Source organism: Homo sapiens, chromosome 1 (genome assembly GCF_000001405.40).
Source record: "Homo sapiens chromosome 1, GRCh38.p14 Primary Assembly".
Classification (NCBI taxonomy): domain Eukaryota; kingdom Metazoa; phylum Chordata; class Mammalia; order Primates; family Hominidae; genus Homo; species Homo sapiens.
Genome location: NC_000001.11, coordinates 170,224,780 through 170,244,801, shown reverse-complemented (window position 1 = coordinate 170,244,801; position 20,022 = coordinate 170,224,780). Strand labels below are relative to the sequence as shown.

At 37.4% G+C, this 20,022-nt stretch overlaps 1 long non-coding RNA gene across 1 annotated transcript in view; it reads right to left on the bottom strand.

Moving 5' to 3' along the window:
• Positions 1-3,231: 3,231 nt before the first annotated feature.
• The window catches only part of LINC01681 (long intergenic non-protein coding RNA 1681), a 67,192-nt gene continuing 50,401 nt past the window's right edge, over positions 3,232-20,022 (bottom strand). The window contains exons 2-5 of the long non-coding RNA NR_146891.1: positions 17,744-17,883; positions 4,480-4,572; positions 3,517-3,737; positions 3,232-3,416 (exon numbers count right to left, since the gene is read on the bottom strand). This is a non-coding gene — a long non-coding RNA (long intergenic non-protein coding RNA 1681). The remainder of the gene's footprint in view (positions 3,417-3,516; positions 3,738-4,479; positions 4,573-17,743; positions 17,884-20,022) is intronic.

The window sequence follows — 20,022 nt, the reverse complement described above, 5'->3', positions numbered from 1 at the left end:
AGAATATATTTTGTTTTTATAAAAGGAAATAAAATGAGATTAACATCAAAAATGAAAAGCAAATTTCTTTTTAAACTTCGCTTTCGATAAATACACATGCTATTCTTTTCCACAATAAAGTATAGCAAGTATGTTGGAGGCACTGGTATCCCGAGCATCAGATTTCATTCATGAAATTCAAAATCCAGATCCTTAACCTCTGTCATGTGTGAAGTGACCTTAAATAAACGGCAACTCCAGGTAATTTTGGTGCAAGTAATGTATATCTCACTGCCACTATATTTAAATTCTCTACCCACCTACATACATGTGAGCACACACACATTCAAACTAATAAACACACACCTACATCAGTTAGAAATGCTTTCAGTAGTCAGCAACGTAACAGTTTAACAGCAACCTAACAGCTTAAGTAAACATGGGATGTCTGCAAATAAATGGCTTCTCCTGGCATTGCTTCAGTGGCTCAAAAACTGCAAAGCTTTCTCTCAAGGTTGCAAGATAACTCCTTGATCACAAACCATTGCTTCCACATTCACGTCAGCAGGAAAGGGATAATAAACAGGACCACCAATTTCTGTCTTAATATCAGAAATACAAAAGCTTCCCTAGAAGTCAGAATACCTATTATTAAAAAGACAAACAGTCTTGCTGGCAAGGATGGGAAGAAAGGAGAATGCTCATTCATTGTTGGTGAGAATGTAAATTAGTATAGCCATTATGGAAAACAGTATGGCGGTTCCTCAAAAAACTAAAGACAGAGCTACCGTATGATCCAGCAATCCCACTACTGGTATTTATCCAAAGGAAAAGAAATTAATACATTAAAGAGATACCTTGTGTTTATGGCAGCACTGTTCACAACAGCCAAAGTATGGAATCAACACGCATCCATCAACAGATAAATGGATACAGAAATGTGGTATATACAAAATGGAATACTATTCAGCCACCAAAAAAAAAAATGAAATCCTGTCATTTGTGGCAACATGGATAAGCCCAGACATTATGTTAAGTGAAATAAGTCACATACAGAAAGAGATATACCACATGTTCTCACTCATATGTGGGAACTAAAAACCTTAAGCTCATAGAAGAGTAGAATTATGGTTACTAAAAGACTGGCAAGGTAGTGGGGAGTGGAGGACAGGGAGAGGATAGTTAATGGATACAAAATTACAGCTAGATGGGAGGAACAAGTTCTAGTGTTCTATAGCCCTGTATACAATATATTTATTGTATATTTTCAAATAGCTAAAAGAGATCTTGAATGTTCCCAATACAAAACAAAAATGATAAATATTTGAGATGATAGATATGCTAATTACCCTGATTTGTTCATTACATATTGTATACATGTATCAAAATATCACTCTGTGCTTCTAAATATGTACAATTATTACTAGTCAGTTAAAAATAATAATGATTTTCTGGGTGTGGTGTCTCATGCCTGTAATCCCAACGCTGGGAGGCCAAGGAGGGAGGATTGCTTGAGCCCAGGAGTTCAAGACCAGCCTGGTCAACATAGTGAGACCCCATCTCTACAAAAAACAGAAAAATTAGCCAGGCATGGTGGTGCATGCCTATAGTCCCAGCTACTTGGGAGGCTGAGGTGGGAACCTCAGCCAGGAAGGTGGAGGCTGCAGTGAACTGTGATCATGCCTCTGCACTGCAGATGGGTGACAGAAGAAAACCCAGTCTCAAAATAATAATATTAATTTAAAAACCATTCAAAAATAAATGTAGCTCAAGTGCTAAATTTTATTATTAAAATATTTTGCTTTTTAACAAAAGAAAAACTTCTCCAGACGCTCCTCCCCTCACTTAGGTGCATGCACACACATGAACATACCGCCCCCCCCCTCCCCACACACACACACAGTGGATTTCCCATTAGTTTTGTCATCCGGAATTGGATCACATGACCACCTATAGTTGCAAAGGAAGCTGCGAAAGTGGGAAACAGGTTGCTTATGATTGTCTTACATCAAACATGACCCATCATTTGGACTAGATATTACTACTCTGAACAAAATTAGGGCTCCATTGTCAAGAGAAAAGGAAGTATAGTTATTGGGTAGGTAACTAATAATGTATGTCATAATAACTTGCCAGTTATTAAGCATCTATTATGTGAAAGGCAATAGGCCTAGTTATTTTACATATTAAAATATTATGTCACTAAATCTTCACAACACTGTGAATTAATCATTTGTAAATGCTGTTTGTTCTCTATTCCTTATAAATAAGAAAAATGAGCCACACTAAAATTGTAAGTACCTTACACAAGGTCACACAACTAGTAAAAGTGGCAGATTAGGATTTGAGCTCAGACCTGATTTGAAGCTCACACTTTTTCTACAATATCCTACAATATCATACTGTCCATAATCTTAGCATCTGTCCCTTTGCTATCCCTAATTCTATCTAGCTATCCCTGACTTCATACAGTCTTGATCACAAGCCCATCCCCCTAAACAGTCTAAGTCATATGGAATTCAATTTAGAAGACTGCACATTGCCTTTACATATATCAAATGCCTATCACAGTGTCTAAAACATAAGCATTCAAAAATACTAATTTAATTCCCCATTTCCCAAATCCCTGACCCTACTTGTCTATAAAATGAGATTCTATGAGACTCTGCCCAAAAGGGTTTAAAAACGAAGGTTTTCATTATAATTTTGTTTCACCTACACGTAATTCCACAACTCAAACCCAAGAACTACAGAGGCTACTATAAGCATATAGTTCTTTTGAGAGACATCAAAATATTCTTGATCACTGCAGAGACAGCCAAGAGAGCTGAACATTTATTTATTTATTTATTGAGCCTTTACTGTATGTTAGGCACTGTTCAAAATTTTGGCAATTCAACAGTGAAAAGGCCAGATAAGTTTCTTGATCTTTGAGTTTCCATTCTAGTGGAAAAGAAGGGCATTAAACATATAAACAAAGATAATTTCAGAAAGTGAGAGTGCTATGAGGAAAATAAAACAAGATTATGTGATAAATGAATAATAATACACAGGTTGATTTTGATAAGATGCCTAGACAGAACGGAAAGAGCTTATTTGAGACCTGATGGCTAAGAGAGAGCCTGGTCACATGTGGGAAAAAGAGAACTGCAGGTCGTAGGCCTGCGCCCTTGAGGCAGGAATATTTTACAGGAACAGAAAGAAGGTCAGTGAGGCTGGAACATAATGATTGAGAAAGACATGATAAGAAATGAGATCTGAGAGGAATCTGTATTTTATTCAAAGTGTAACGGGCATTTTGACAAATTTTAGATAAGCAGGGGTAGCATAATCCCGCGTTGTTTTTGTAATCACTCTGGCAGCTGTGTAGAGAGTGGCTTGGTAGGTTGCACAAGTGGAAGTGGAGATTTCAGCGAGGTGACTTGGCCAGAGCAGCACTGGTAGAAATGGGATAAAGATGGGTGAATTAAAGATAAATAAACATTGTGATACAACTTAACTGTGGGGAAATTTGTTTTCTCATTCACTTCATTTTACCTTGAGTTTGCAACACCACAGTGTTTTGTCACATTAGTTCACATGTTTTCTGAAGAATTGTGGCCATTATTTTCTTCTTAAACCTTTTTATAATACATGTCTTAACGTGCTAACAAAATTCAGTCAGATATTTGTCTTTTATTTGAATGGACTATATCTACAAGACAGTGCTGAAGCAGTCAGTTCATTCAAACAGCCTTTGAATTCAGAGTGCCTCTTTCCTTTCAGAAAAGAAAAAATAAAGTCAGTCTCATATCTTTTTATAGATACAGCTTGTCAGAGGTTTAGCTTTGCATAATTGGCCATAATTAATTATAAGCTTCTCTAAGTTTTCTCTAAGTTCATGAAACTAGTCAGGTTAATAGAAGATTCTCCAAGAAACTGTGTTCTGGGGTTAATCAGTGTTGTTCCTAACTAGAATTCTGAGTGGAATAATCCAGGAGAAACACGTCACTTTTGGAAGCTGCCCCTGTAAATTTACTACGTCTGAATGTTCACTCCTTCTGGAAAAAGCATCTTAATTTAACTGCAGTGGGAGTTGATAATAGTGCTGGTGCTCCTTGGAGTCAAATTTAGATGAGGACTATTACCTGGCCCTGTCCTATTCTGCTATTTTGTTATCCAAACCCTTCAACTATGACTAGTTAGTCATCCTCAGAATGCACTTTGCATATCATGGTTAAGCTTCTAAAATTGTGACGGAAAGGAGAGTTGTAGTACCAGAATGAATTTCTGCATAAATAATTTTCATTTTCATTTTTATCAATTGGGGTAAACATGACTTTAGCCACAAGGCATGAGAGAAAACCAGGATCTGGTTAACTGTTATCTGGGTAACTGAACAATGGGAAGACTGAAACTGGATGACTGAAGCCAAAAGCACTTCAGGCAGGGATTCTTGGGCTCATGGATCTTTACAGGCTTAAAAATGCTGCTTTAAGGATATTTAAGAAGAAGGCTTACATTTAGGAAACTTCAAAGGGTTGAAATTTGATCACTCCATAGGTGATCAACGCAGAGTGAATGTCTTCAGTTGCAATATTCAATTGAAACACTCTTGTACAATTGAAGAAAAAGGAAGAAATCAGAAGATAGTTAATGCCTTTTAAATCCAGATAAGTTTAACTACAATAAAAACACATACCAACGCCTTGCCTTCTTGGCCTAGTAAGTTCCAGGTATAGTTGTGAAGACTGTTCTTCAGTGCAGTAGCAATGAACTGGAAAGCCTTTGTGTAACTGAAGGGTTTCCGTGGGTTCCAGATTCTGAGTTTGTCCCAGAAGCCAAAACAATGATTTATAAAATGTTGCAGATTTCTAAATAAATGTTAAGCATCTCCTGGTTATTAAAGATTGCTAACCAGTATTTAATTTATCTGTGTTTCCTCCTGTTAACCAAGCAAGTATACAAAAAGAGTTGCTATTAATTATCATGCCATATTTTCAAAAACAACACACTATATTAACTTTTGCTTATCACAGACTGCCCTAATCTAAGTCTGATTGTATGGCTTTTAGATCGTCTTTTGGTTTGATAAATACATCAGAATCCCCAATAACTGTTGAGATTTCATTTCCACCCCACCTAACTATTGCTCATCTCATTCTTACTCATGCAATTCCTCCTCCCTCCCCACCCATACACAGCAATGCTGCTTTTGCAATTTGTCAACCTGAAGGCAATAACAGTTGTCAAACTGACCGTGCAACTTTTTGGCAACCCACACAAATCACTGTGTATCTCTGTACTTCTCTCTCCTTTTATCAATGATTTGGGAGTAATCATCCTGGTTGCCTGCTTTGTTCTCGTGAGTTTGGAGGGCACTGACATTCATGGAACATTGTGAACTAAGAAGAAAGTTGCTTATAAGTGTCTCGAACTACCATTTTCACATGTCTTAACTGCCATAACAGGGAGGAAAGTCTTCACAATTTGAAAGGCTGCCTGAAACTTAGTCCCACTGCACCAAACCTTTGATCTTTTGGTCACACCGTCAGTCTCTTGAAAACTCAGTTCTCTTGTAAAATTTTCAGTCTGCTCCCAAAACAATTGTTGCATAAGTTCTGAAAGCCAGGCCCACAAAGCTTCGCTTTGTTCTGGAAAGTTCCCTAAATAGAGTTAGGTAACAACGGCATTAGCACTAAGACTGAGGAGTCATGGCATCCAATCACACACAGCTCTCTGTTTTTCTTTCTCTCAACGTCTCTTTTTCTTTTCCTCTTCTCTTCCCCTTCTTTTTCAATTTCTTCCTCCTCCTCTCTTCTCCTTTGTTTCCTTCTCCCACAAAAAGTGTTTGCTTTTCCCCGCAAACGCTTCTGAGCCTTGGACCAGGCTCTGATTTCACCAGCTTTGCTTAAGCAAGACTTGCTGCTTCACCTAAGGACAAAGGTGTTTCCAGGTTTAACTAAAAACTGGATGGGACATTACATAACAGAGTGAAGTGAGGCTCCCATTGCCAAAGTGCTACAAAAACACTTTTTCTCACAATGTTTCAGAACTTTTGCAACAGGGTATCTACGAGAATTAAAACATGGGTTAAAAATATGTAAGATCTCATGCCAAATAATTGAAAACAAACAGTTGATTTACAGTAAGATCTTGCTAGTTTTCACTCTTCTGAAATGAACCTGATTCTTTTGTTTTAATAGCAGGGTTTATTTGCTATATACATTGAAATACTTTAAATTATTGAGCATTTTTGAATATTAAGAACTTTTGAAATAAATCATGAACTGATGTTAGGAACAATTTTAAGTGTGTCACATTTGTCGGTATGAATTAACCTAATGCATTTTATTTGAGGGGCTTCTCTACATTTTCTTCTCTTGCTTGTGAGAGTCTGTGACATTTCACAATGAAGATAGCCTCTTGTGTAAGCATAAATTAGGAGAAGCCACCAAGGCTGAGATTAATAGCTTAAGTTATTTTCACTAAATTTAAGTAGATTGATTAAATCATTCCACAATGTAATCATGTATCAAAACATCACAATGTACTCCCTAAATAGATGCAATTATTATTTGCCAGTTAAAAAGTTTTAAAAAGAGGTTTACTTCGTGAAGAGCAAAAAATATTTGGCAACAGTAATCAAATGAAGCTTATATATCATAGTCAAAATATAATTGTATCAGAATTCCTGATGATTAAAGCACATCTAGAAAGAGCCCGGCCCACTGTGCTCCTGCCCACGACCAAGGCCTCAAAGAGGTCTCTCTAATCATTCCCACTCTCATTTCTGGCTGTACTCCTATTTCTTACTATGCTGGGGTAACATGTTTGTAGACTATTTTAAGAACTATATTGAGCAGCTTCTTCAAACAGGTATACTTACTCTTGGGAGTACATAAAACCTTTCAGAAGACATGCAAACACAAACTGTTCTAAGGAAATCAATTTCCAGATACTTAGCTTCCACATCCACTCTTTCCTAAAAGTAGTCTGCCTAAGGTGCCTTCCATGAACTCTTCATAACCCTTTCCTTCCCATTCGCTTTGTTATCCTTGCTGGAGCGATGCATTGTCTTGCGATGTAATAATCTCTGGGATGTCAAACAAAGGAATAATTTGAAATATTTGTGTCACCTCATTTAATCAAAGCACCATAAAACCTGACCACCGATCATGCTAAGAAAAGCATCTCCAATACAATATTATTTTTGATATTTAAAAATTATAATTTGTGTGTATTTTTGATCACTTCCATATGAAAAATAACTGTTATGATAATACAGAAGAAAATTATAGGTCTTCAAACTCTAGGACCATAGAAAATTTTTATTGCAACTAGTAGGCAGAGCTAAAAATGTAGCAAAAGGAATCTAAATTTAGACATAAAGTTCTGACTATGGAGGTAGTGAAAAAAACACAGAATGGAAATTTTAAAATTTTTGTTGTATAGGCATATAAAAGGGTAACCAATAACAGATATTCACTTTTAAAATTATATTGCATTGGTGTAAAAGTCTAAGAGGAAGTGGAATGGAAATAAAATATCAAAGAGAAAAAAGAATTACAAAAATGTCTAATTTTTTTATTATTATACTTTAAGTTTTAGGGTACATGTGCACATTGTGCAGGTTAGTTACCTGTGTATACATGTGATATGCTGGTGCGCTGCACCCACTAACTCCTCATCTAGCATTAGGTATATCTCCCAATGCTATCCCTCCCCCCTTCCCCCACCCCACAACAGTCCCCAGAGTGTGATGTTCCCCTTCCTGTGTCCATGTGTTCTCATTGTTCAATTCCCGCCTATGAGTGAGAATATGCGGTGTTTGGTTTTTTGTTCTTGCGATAGTTTACTGAGAATGATGATTTCCAGTTTCATCCATGTCCCTACAAAGGACATGAACTCATCATTTTTTATGGCTGCATAGTATTCCATGGTGTATATGTGCCACATTTTCTTATCCAGTCTATCATTGTTGGACATTTGGGTTGGTTCCAAGTCTTTGCTATTGTGAATAATGCCGCAATAAACATACGTGTGCATGTGTCTTTATAGCAGCATGATTTATAGTCCTTTGGGTATATACCCAGTAATGGGATGGCTGGGTCAAATGGTATTTCTAGTTCTAGATCCCTGAGGAATCGCCACACTGACTTCCACAATGGTTGAACTAATTTAGAGTCCCACCAACAGTGTCAAAGTGTTCCTATTTCTCCACATCCTCTCCAGCACCTGTTGTTTCCTGACTTTTTAATGATCGCCATTCTAACTGGTGTGAGATGATATCTCATTGTGGTTTTGATTTGCATTTCTCTGATGGCCAGTGATGGTGAGCATTTTTTCATGTGTTTTTTGGCTGCATAAATGTCTTCTTTTCAGAAGTGTCTGTTCATGTCCTTTGCCCACTTTTTGATGGGGTTGTTTGTTTTTTTCTTGTAAATTTGTTTGAGTTCATTGTAGATTCTGGATATTAGCCCTTTTTCAGATGAGTAGGTTGCGAAAATTTTCTCCCATTTTGTGGGTTGCCTGTTCACTCTGATGGTAGTTTCTTTTGCTGTGCAGAAGCTCTTTAGTTTAATTAGATCCCATTTGTCAATTTTGGCTTTTGTTGCCATTGCTTTTGGTGTTTTAGACATGAAGTCCTTGCCCATGCCTATGTCCTGAATGGTAATGCCTAGGTTTTCTTCTAGGGTTTTTATGGTTTTAGGTCTAAGCTTTAAGTCTTTAATCCATCTTGAATTAATTTTTGTATAAGGTGTAAGGAAGGGATCCAGTTTCAGCTTTCTACATATGGCTAGCCAGTTTTCCCAGCACCATTTATTACATAGGGAATCCTTTCCCCATTGCTTGTTTTTGTCAGGTTTGTCAAAGATCAGATAGTTGTAGATATGCGGCATTATTTCTGAGGGCTCTGTTCTGTTCCACTGATCTATATCTCTGTTTTGGTACCAGTATCATGCTGTTTTGGTTACTGTAGCCTTGTAGTATAGTTTGAAGTCAGGTAGTGTGATGCCTCCAGCTTTGTTCTTTTGGCTTAGGATTAACTTGGTGATGCGGGCTCTTTTTTTGTTCCATATGAACTTTAAAGTAGTTTTTTCCAACTCTGTGAAGAAAGTCATTGGTAGCTTGATGGGGATGGCATTGAATCTATAAATTACCTTGGGCAGTATGGCCATTTTCATGATATTGATTCTTCCTACCCATGAGCATGGAATGTTCTTCCATTTGTTTGTATCCTCTTTAATTTCATTGAGCAGTGGTTTGTAGTTCTCCTTGAAGAGGTCCTTCACGTCCCTTGTAAGGTGGATTCCCAGGTATTTTATTCTCTTTGAAGCAATTGTGAATGGGAGTTCACTCATGATTTGGCTCTCTGTTTGTATGTTATTGGTGTATAAGAATGCTTGTGATTTTTGTACATTGATTTTGTATCCTGAGACTTTGCTGAAGTTGCTTATCAGCTTAAGGAGATTTTGGGCTGAGACAATGGGGTTTTCTAGATATACGATCATGTCGTCTGCAAACAGGGACAATTTGACTTCCTCTTTTCCTAATTGAATACCCTTTATTTCCTTCCCCTGCCTAATTGCCCTGGCCAGAACTTCCAACAGTATGTTGAATAGGAGTGGTGAGACAGGGCATCCCTGTCTTGAGCCAGTTTTCAAAGGGAATGCTTCCAGTTTTTGCCCATTCAGAAAAAATATCTAATTTTTAAAGAAGATATTTGTATGCCTTTAAAATAGATGATAGCAGATATAAAATTCCTGTAAAAAGTGCTCATTTAAAAGTGAGGTGACAGTTTTACTTTAAAAATTTCCATTTAAATGTTCAGGAAATTATATCCTTTGAAACTATATAAACTTATGTTAAATATTTTAGTTGTCAACTTAAAAATGTGGAAGGGAGAAAAAAGTCTGTAAAAATTCTCTTAAGGAGCATGAGAGCAACAAAGAAGATACCTGATAAGAAAAATACTCTCTGCCTTGTGAAGATTATATTCCTAACAGAGAAATCAGCCAGGTAGGGTAAGCACCATGTGGCATTTTTTGTTCTTACAGAAAATATGTCCTGTTCTTCCTTCTTCCTTTTAATTGGAAGCTCTCGCTGAAGAAAAAAAAGTTTGAAGTGGCCTATTTTGTTTCTGGTATAAGTAGAGCCAAATTTCTCAAATCGCAGCAAAATATAAATGGACTCTATAGGATGCAGTTATGTCAAGAAGAGTTGCTACTATTTCCAAGTGAGTGGATTAACCTTGTACTTGCCATATGTTCAACCAAGTGCCAGTAGCCAACAAAATACTACACATAAGCACAGGGTGCCAACATCCTATCTAAATGAGATCAAGTTAAAATATACATCACAGACAGGCTTGAATAGGGGGAAAAATACAGAATATCATTGAAAGGGTACTCACGGAAGGAAAGGACTCAGACCCAGCTGTGTGTGCACGTGTGTGTGTGTGTGTGTGTGTGTGTGTGTGTGTCAGGGGCACTTTTTCCCCTGTACTGCTTACCTACATTAATCTCTACAGTGAAGGATTCCTGAAAGTACAGCATGCCCCAAAACGCAGTACCCTAATCTACCCAGGTTTTGCTTTATCAATACATACAATCAAGAACTATCCCAGGTTTTCCTATCCCAGGTTTTTCTCTATCCATACATACAATCAAGAACTATCCCAGGTTTTCCTATCCCAGGTTTTTCTCTATCCATACATACAATCAACAACTCATTTTCTCAGCATGTGTTTCTGAACCTAAACCATTGCTAAGAAATACTAGAACTATCAAAATTCCTATTTGATAGACCACAAACGTGGAGCAGTAGAGAAAAACAGCAAATAAGTCTCCATAGTAAGCCACAGTTTTGGTCATCTAAACTATGAGTAATAAAAAGTAAATTTCAATCAACTGTGCTAAAGGAAAGACTAAGATATCTTTATATTCTCTGTATAAAATATTACAGAATCTTATTAGTAAGAAAGTTTCATCAAAGAGTATGCAGTCAAAAACGTAAAAAGAATGCATAGTGGTAAGTGAGAGAGTTAATTAATTTAAAATATTATGCTATTTTTCTTCATTTTGTGATGTTTATAATATTGGCGAATTTTTTTAGTTGTTAATTCTTGGGATTTATTTTTTCTTTAGAAATAAATTATCAGCTTTTTGCTCAATTTATAAAATTATAGAAGCCTCATGCCTCAACTAAACTCCAATTACTCTGCTCCCTAAGTCCCTGCCTCATGAATAGACAGAAATGACTCTGCCACTTCCTGTCTCCTGTTCAAGGTGATATGAGCTTTGCCTCCTAGGTATGAGGAACAATGGAGGAATTGCTTTAATAATAGGTAAGAATTATGAACATGCATTTCTTTTTCTTCAACAGAGTTAAATAATGGCTCACTCTGGATTTCCAGATGCAGTTAAGATGAAATAATAATGTTGAGCCAGTCTTGCCCTGCTTTAAATTAATCACTCCAGGAAGAGACATTAAACCTTTCAGACCACCAGTGTGCATAAATGCTTTAGTGCCCTAGACCATACACCCTCTCTTGGTTATTTGGGACACAAGGAAATGTAGGCTCAGTAAATGAGGCTGTTTTATGAGCCATTTAAATAATCTGAAAAGGAAATTAATACTTTTATTACTTTCTATAAGTGAAAAACTTCCTTAAAAATCTGTAAGAGTTCTTTATATTATGGTGGGTAGGACTGACTGCCCTGGCCAAAACATGGATCCAAAGAAATAATGGAAGGTTACAGAAAGCATGCGTGGCCACATAAATCATAATGGAATAAATAAAGGCTGGAAACTAATTTGGAGCTAAAGAAATTCACTTCTAATCATGCCAAAAAAAATTCACTTGATTAGAAATCAGGCTATGACTTAAAAATAAAGTATTTCTCAGTCTTTTTGAACAATATGAATTTTTGCTGGGCCTATTACTAGGATGGGAAAGGAATCTAGAGAAATGTGGAAACAAGGTGTGAACCCTACCCCATGTCAGAACCATCAGGACTTCTCACACGAGGAATATTCCATTAGTCACTTTTTATAAACACTGCCCTCAAACTTTAAGACTTCACAACAGTCCAGTAGAGAAAGGAAAATTAGGTGAATTTGCTAGAAAGGAAAGGTTACTTCTCTGATCTCATCTTTTACCCATTTCTGCCTCAGTCAGCTCCAGCCACCATTCTGGCTTCTGCTCTGTTCCTGAAACACACCAAGCACACTCCAGTCTCAAAGCCTTTGAACTGGCGGTTCCCTCTGCCTAAGACACTCTTCCCCTAAATTTCCACATGGCTCCCTCCCTTATTCTATTTAGATCTCTGTTCACATGTCACCTTATCTCGGAGCCCCTCCCCTATAATGCTTTGTTCTCTTGCCCTGCCTTATTTTTCTCTTAGAATATTACAGATTTTTTTGTTGCCACTGAAATGTAAGCACCCTGAAAGTAGGGAGCTTGTCGTTCACTGCTGTTTTCTCAGTGCCTAGCACAGGGCCTGATACAACTATATACTCAGTAATTATATGTTAAATGATGAATTGCACTGGTAAATACATGATTTGACTATTGTAAACCTTCCTTTCATTAAATTAGTAGATACCAAGCCTGAATTGGAACACAGATCTCTCTGTACCAATCTGCTTGCATACAGATCGCCTGCAGGCAAGAGGGCCTATTATAAAGATAATTCCCTTGTAAGGAAGAAACTAGTTTCTAACATTCTTCTAACAATGTTAGAAGAAACATTCTAACATTCCTTTCAACATGAATTAAAAAAAAAGTTTTGCATGTGTCAAGACTAAGGGAAGCTATATATTTAGTTGGCTATACTGACATGTGCTTATATATCCACAGGAGCATAAAGCATTGCAAAGTTCTCTCTTCTGCCAATTTTCTCCCTGGAGTTGACTGACTGGCCTTCTGGCCTCAGGTTAATGATCACTTAGTGTCCAAAAAGGAGACTGAAGTAAATAAACAACCTGACCCCGTTCTCTTCCTTCTTTCCAATCTCCTGCCAGGGCTTCCCTTTGGCCCAACCCAACTGGAAATCAGGTGGCAAAGAATCTCCTCACTGTGGTCCATACAAATGAATGCTTTACAAACATTTCTGTCTTTTTTTTTTTTTTTTTTTTTTGAGATGGAGTCTTCCTCTTGTTGCCCAGGCTGGAGTGCAGTGTCGCGATCTTGGCTCACTGCAACCTCCACCTCCCGGGTCCAAGCAATTCTCCGCCTCAGCCTCCAGAGTAGCTGGGATTACAGGTTCGCTACCAGGCCTGGCTAACATTTCTAACTTTTAATGTAATCTTACTGTTTCTAGTTTTGACCTCTTGGCCTCTCAAGAGGACTTTACTTGGAGGATTGACTTACATTAGCTTTGATGATTCTGGTTTTATTTTTCTTTTGTTAATGGAAAGAAAATTCAAGGCTTAAGAAGAATACCTAGATGGATGAAAAAGAGGTTTGTCTCCTCACCTGCAGTGGCATGATCAGCCTATCTGCCAATAGGAAGAATCCTGCCTGGGGTCCCGGTTACAAGGTGGTTGAAATCAGCATGTTTATCAAGCATATTTCCTCTTGTGTAAAATGAGGAAGAATGGAGATAAGGCCAGGAAGTTAGCAATATTGTGTGTGATGTTACTTCTCCCATAACCTCTCAGATCTTCAGTAAAAACACTAAACTAATGACATACTTGGGGAAAGTAGAAATTGTGTCTGGATGATGCAGGATGAATCTAAGACAAAGAAAACTTGAAGAAGGACGCCACTGAGAATTCACAGAAATTGTAGAAGTAGCTCTAAACTTGTATTGGTACCAAACTGAAATTTTAAACCAAATTGACCTAAGTCTCCAAGGGATAGTAGGACCCCAACTGATGTCTGGGATGTGCTTAAAAGTCTCTCAGGATTTTCATACTTTAAAAACTTCCATTCCATTTTTCCCATAATCTCTATAGTTAAGAACGTTATGTCTGAATTTAAATTCCTATTGCTGCAATTTCAGCTTAGCCTAGTAGTTAAAGTAATAACCATAATAGCTCCCAGGTACAAGCAATGGAGTCAAACTCTCTAAGTTTGAACCTCAGCCAAACTACTTACAAACTTGGACGAGTTACTTAAACTCTCTAAACAACAGTTTCTTCAACCATAAAATGGGATTAAGATGATTCCATCCACCATAAGGTTGTTACGAGCATCAGATGAATAAATGTATACAAAAAATTTAACAGAGTACCTAGCACATAGTAAGTGCTCAATAAGGTTTGTTATTAACACCATTCCTGTACACTAAGCATTGTGCTGTTTTACATAGGTCATCACATTTAATGCTCACAATAACTCTCAGAATTAGTGGTTATAATCTCCATTTTACAGATAAGAAAATTAAGATGAGGATAATTTAAATAATAAAGAATAGCTATTTTCTTTTTACATCTTTGTGTTGCATTTATTATGGCACCAATGTGACCATGGAGAAAGAAATGTTTGAGTGAATAAATGAATAAATAATTTTTCTCCTTCTGATCTCTCCTAAAATCCAGAGAAAGAAGAGAAATAATTTCATCTCTCAATTCTGCCAATTTTTTAGTGTTCACTAACATTCTCAAACTAAGGACTTAAATGCCAATTTCATTAATGTTCCAATTTATTTTTCTTTCAGAGAAGCAATGAAAATGTTTATAAGAAAGAGATGTAAAACATATTGCTTCTTAAACTCTAACACCTTGAATTCTTCCTTTCTTGGTTCTTCTACAAGCAGTCTTTGCAACATATTTTAGTCTCTGCCAATTGGAACTAACACTCAAAATAAATTAAAAATATAATTTTGCAATTTCTAAACCAGATAGTCTATAAAAACTCTAATAAATAACATCTACTCTACTTTTTTCTCACGAGTGTTATTAACTATTATCCAAAAAAAGAATCTGATACAATTTGTAATGCAGAAATCCATACTTCTGGTTCATGATTTCCTTACCCTTTAGGTGTTTCCAATTTTTTTTTCTCAGAATGTACTCTGTTATTCCTCAAAACCGATACCAGATTATATAAAGGGTACTGCTTAAAAACATTTTCTTTTTCTGTTTTGGAGTTGGTCTCTAATTTGAAGTTAGCATTTAATACCATCATAATAGCTTTACTTAAGCCAATCCTTTCTGTAGATAAAGAATGTTCTGCTGAGATAGTCATTTGAACATAATGTTCATCAAGTATTCATTTTTCCCATTTGTCATTTACTACTTATTCTAATCTTCTGCTATTTTTTCCAATTCTTTACTACCAAGTAGTTTGGATTTTTCCTTTTATTTCATTCAAGGATGTTGTGGGAAGTAAGCCTATGGTGCTGTGTACATCAATCTGCTGGATCTTGACGTACTCTTAGCCAATTACTGGACCATTCTGCCCCTGTTCACTAAGTAGCCCATGTCACATCAGTAAGAAGTGTGTAATATAGTCTAAAGGGAGTGGGAACTAAAAGACACATCAGGAGTATAGATTTGACACTGTGAAAGGAAAATAAATCTCAAGACCCCAAAGTCACTAAGCCAGGGGAAAAGTCAAGCTAGGAAATATGTCAGGCAAACCTGCCTCCCATTTTATTTCTAAATAAGATAGCTACAAAGATAAAAAGCTACATATCTCCCTCACAATTTGTCAGCAAGGAAATTCCTTGTGGACAAAGGTCAGAAAGAAATCAAAGTCATCCTTCTGAGGCTCACCTGAGACAAATACATATCTGATTACTTCCTCTGCCCTATTGCTTATGTAAAAATGCAGATTCATGGAGCCAGACTCAGCTGTGTATTCAGTGGAAGACTGATCAAGGACTCAAAAGAATGCTACCTTTGTCTCTTGTCTACTTATGACCTGGAAGTCCCCATCTCAAGTTGTCCTGCCTTACCCAACCGAACCAATATACATCTTACACATATTGACTGATGTCTCACGTCTCCCTAAAATGTATAAAAGCAAGCTGTACCCCAATCATCCTGGGCACATGTTGTCAGGACCTCCTGAGATTGTGTCACAGGTGCATCCTTAACCTTGGCAAAATAAACTTTCTAACTTGACTGAGACCTCTCTCAGATATTTTGAGTTCACGACATTTATCTTCTATTACTGTGTAATGTTTGGTGAAATTAACTTCTTCAATATTTCGTTTATTCAACCTTAAGTGACAGTGCTGTCTTCCTGTTTTCTAGAGATAATAATGCTTTTACTTTTTGATTATTTATTTGAAATTAGATAAAAGATCAGATTTTAAGTGTCCTTATTATGCACACCACACACACACACACACACACACACACACACATACAAATGGTAACTATGGGTGATGATGGATGTGCTCTTTAATTTGATTGTGGTAATCATTACACAATGTTTATGTATAACACACTATCATGTTATACATCTTGAATATATACAAATTTTGTCAAATATTGCTTTAAAAAATATTGAGTTAGAGAGTTTAGATCTCTCCCAAATGACCTGGAGGAATTTCACAGCATTTGAAAAGTAAAAAAGCAAGATATAGAGAAATATATGTATAAAATTTCCCAATTTATAAAAATGAAAACATAAAAGCCCATTTCTGTATATATACGTAGATTAAGTTTTTTGAAACAGGGTCTCACTCTGTCTCCCAGGCTGCCGTGCAGTGGTGTGATCACGGCTCACTACGGCCTCAACCCACCAGACTCCGGTGATTCTACCACCTCAGCCCCCCTAATAGCTGGGAATACAGGCATGCTCCAGCACCCCCAGCTAATTTTTTTGTATTTCTTGTAGAGACAGGGTTTCACCATGTTGTCTAGGCTGGTCTCAAGCTCCTGGGCCCAAACAGTCTTCCTGCTTCAGCCTCCCAAAGTGTTGGGATTACAGGTGTGAGCCACTGTGCCCAGCCTGTATATATTTTTTTAAGTTGCAAGGTGAAGTAACAACAGAGGAACTATTCTAGTCTCCATAGCCTGACCACTGATATTCCCCAGCTGCAGGGCCTTTTGCTCAGCCTTTCTGCAGCATGTTTTTGCCTACCTGTGGTATTCAGTGCTGGTAGCCATCAGCTCTTCCTGAGATGCTCTCTGGCTTTGATTTCTCTGATTTCCTGCCTTGATTTGCTCCCATGGTTTTCCACCTATCTTTTGGATTTCTCCTTCTCCTCCCCTTTCCTCATTCTCCATACCACCTAAGGTTTATGCCTTTTTTCCTACACATGACAAACAGGCATAAAGGTGAGGATACAGAGGTGAGTGGCCCATCCTTGGCCTTAAATGGCTTTTAGGCTGGTAAATAGAGATGAACAAAATGTTAGATAAGTGAACAGAGGTGTTATCAGTGACTCTGAGTTCCCTGAAGTATAGAGTTATTTATTCTTTTTTCCCTACTAACATTTGGGGAAAAAACCTGTTGTGTATCCTTGGTGACACTATCTCACCGCAATATTTCATCTTCCTATCTGCCCCCATTGGGTTAGTTCCACAAAATCAGAGATTTTCAAAGCCAGTCCTCCTTTTACCATTAAATGAACTGAACCTACAGATAAAGCAACTTGTCCATGACCACATGGCTTGTAAGTGGCAAAGCCAGACCAGAATGAGACCTCCAGGCTCCTATTGCTCCTATTGTCAGATCTTGTAGCAACTTTGTGAGCTGAGGTGTCCCATGTTAATCCATAAGTAACTCTATACTTAACAAAGTAATGGTTTGGTATTTCCCTCTTGTTCCACAGAGGGTGACAGCATGTCCTAGAGGTCTGAAGGCAAAAATCCATACCTCTCTTGACAGAGCAAATTCTTCAGGTTCCAATCAGTTTGTGGAAGATTCACTCTGACAGCCTGTGACCTCAGGGTAGAGAAGTGGTTCTGAGCCCATTAAAATTCATGTTCAGAGCCTGATGGATCACATGGGAACTGCTGTAACAGAAATTATTCCTGAGGTCACATGGTGTGTTAACTCCTTACTCCTCATCACAGTAATGATGGCTCAGACAAACTATCATGGACTCAATGAATCCTCAGCTGGAGAAAATATCTGGGAAAGGGACCTCAAGGTGTCTAACGTATAAAACAAGGAGGAGAAGCAAATATTGACAGAAATCTGAAAATATTGCCTTTTCAGTGGTAAAGACAACACTCAGATATTCTGTGGTCAAGTAGGGAATTGGAAGGTAATAAAAGAAGGAGGAAAGGAAGAAGAAATGGAAAGAAGGAGAGAGGAAGGGAGGGAAGGAGGGAAGGAGAGAAGGAAGGCAGGGAGGGAGGGAGGGAGGAAGGGAGGGAGAGAAAAGGGCAAGAAAGAAAACTTTCACCAAACTGATACCTGTCAGATAAAAGAGATTGGGGCCATAAATTTCTCCCGGCATTTCTAATGGGATTTTAATACAGCATTTGGCCATCATCTTTTTTTCATTCCTGTAATGACATACATGCCCAAAGTGTAGCCATGGAGCCTCTGAACTCTGTATATTTCTGTAATACACAAAGAAAACAGCTGTCACATCCATTTTAAGGAACTTTTAAATACATTACAGTGAGGTCTACAGGCTCCGAATCCAAAGGGAAAGGCACAAAGTCTGTCTGTACATCATCTGTGATGGGCCTGAAATCCAGCCAAGGTAGATTTTTTTTTTAAATAATAAAATAAAATGTTGTGTTTTTTTTTTAAAGGAACATTATATTTTTAAACTGGAAATAATTGTATTTTGTGTCTTATATGGCATCTGAAAGTGATTTAGTAGAACAATGTGGTTTCTGATTGGTATTTGAATTGGTTCCAGAACATTTTTCATAATAACCATCTTAAAGATCCCAATTATCTGATCCTCTTTCCCCCCTTCACATGGTTTCATAGGAGCTTTCCAGAGAGAAAGAGAAACCTGCAGAGGCAGGCAAGCCAACTCACATCTAGCTAAACAGTGTGTGCCTGCTAGGCCCAAAGGAAAAGGCCTGCTTGTTATTTTGAGTTGTCCAGGATGCATTTATGACTCAATAAAGGAGGCCTTGGCATTACCAGAATAATTACTTACTAAAACAAGCCTATAAAACCAAAATGTTGCCTCAACTAAAAGGCAAACAGAGAACATTCTTTTTCTTTTAGTGTTAACATGTAAACCTAGTGAAGTGTATTTAGATTTCTATAAAATCAGCTCTGGGTGCAAAAGGGATGGTTGATTTACCAGGTGGACAGCATCACCAATGCCCCGGGGTTACAAAGGGGCTAAGGGGAAGTGGTCCTGTCAAATATGAAAGGATGCTCATCCATAATGGACCCGGCCTTGCTTGTCACAGGCAGAAATTATGGCTTGGTGGTGAAGAAGCAGACTCCGGAGTCTGACAGTGGGATCTGAGGCTGCACCACCGTAAGCAGTGTGATGTCGGCCGTGACCCAAACTCTCTGTGTCTCATCTGCATGGTGGAGATAATGTCATATCTGTTTTATGGGATCATTGAAAAAAAATGAATAAAATAATACATGTAAACGGCTTCTTAGAACAACACATGGTATAGAATATGGCACACAATGGTAGCTCCGATGTTTACAAATAATGGGATCCATTATTGTAACAAAAGTAACTTTCATTTTTTACATATATTAGTAATAAGCATAAAATTTTTAAATATTGTTAATTCTGCCTTTTATTCTTTCATTTGAAATGTTTTTATTTCATTTCATTTTTAGTTGACAAATAACTATATAAATATGAGGTGCAATGTGATGTTTTCATATATACATGCATTGTAGAATGACTAAATCTACCTATTTAGCATATCCATTACCTCATGTACTTATCATTTTTGTGTGGTAAGAACATTTAAAATCTACTCTTTTTGCAGTTTTGAAATATGCAACCTGTAGTCATCATGCTGTACAATAGGTTACTAAAACTTATTCCTTCTGTCTAACTCAAACTTTATACCCTTTGACCAACATCTCCCCTTTCTCCATCACCCCTCCCATCCCCACCAGCCTCCGGTAACCACCATTCTACTCTCTATTTCTTTGAGTTTGACTTTTTTGTGACAACATGGATGAACCTGGAGGACATTATGCTA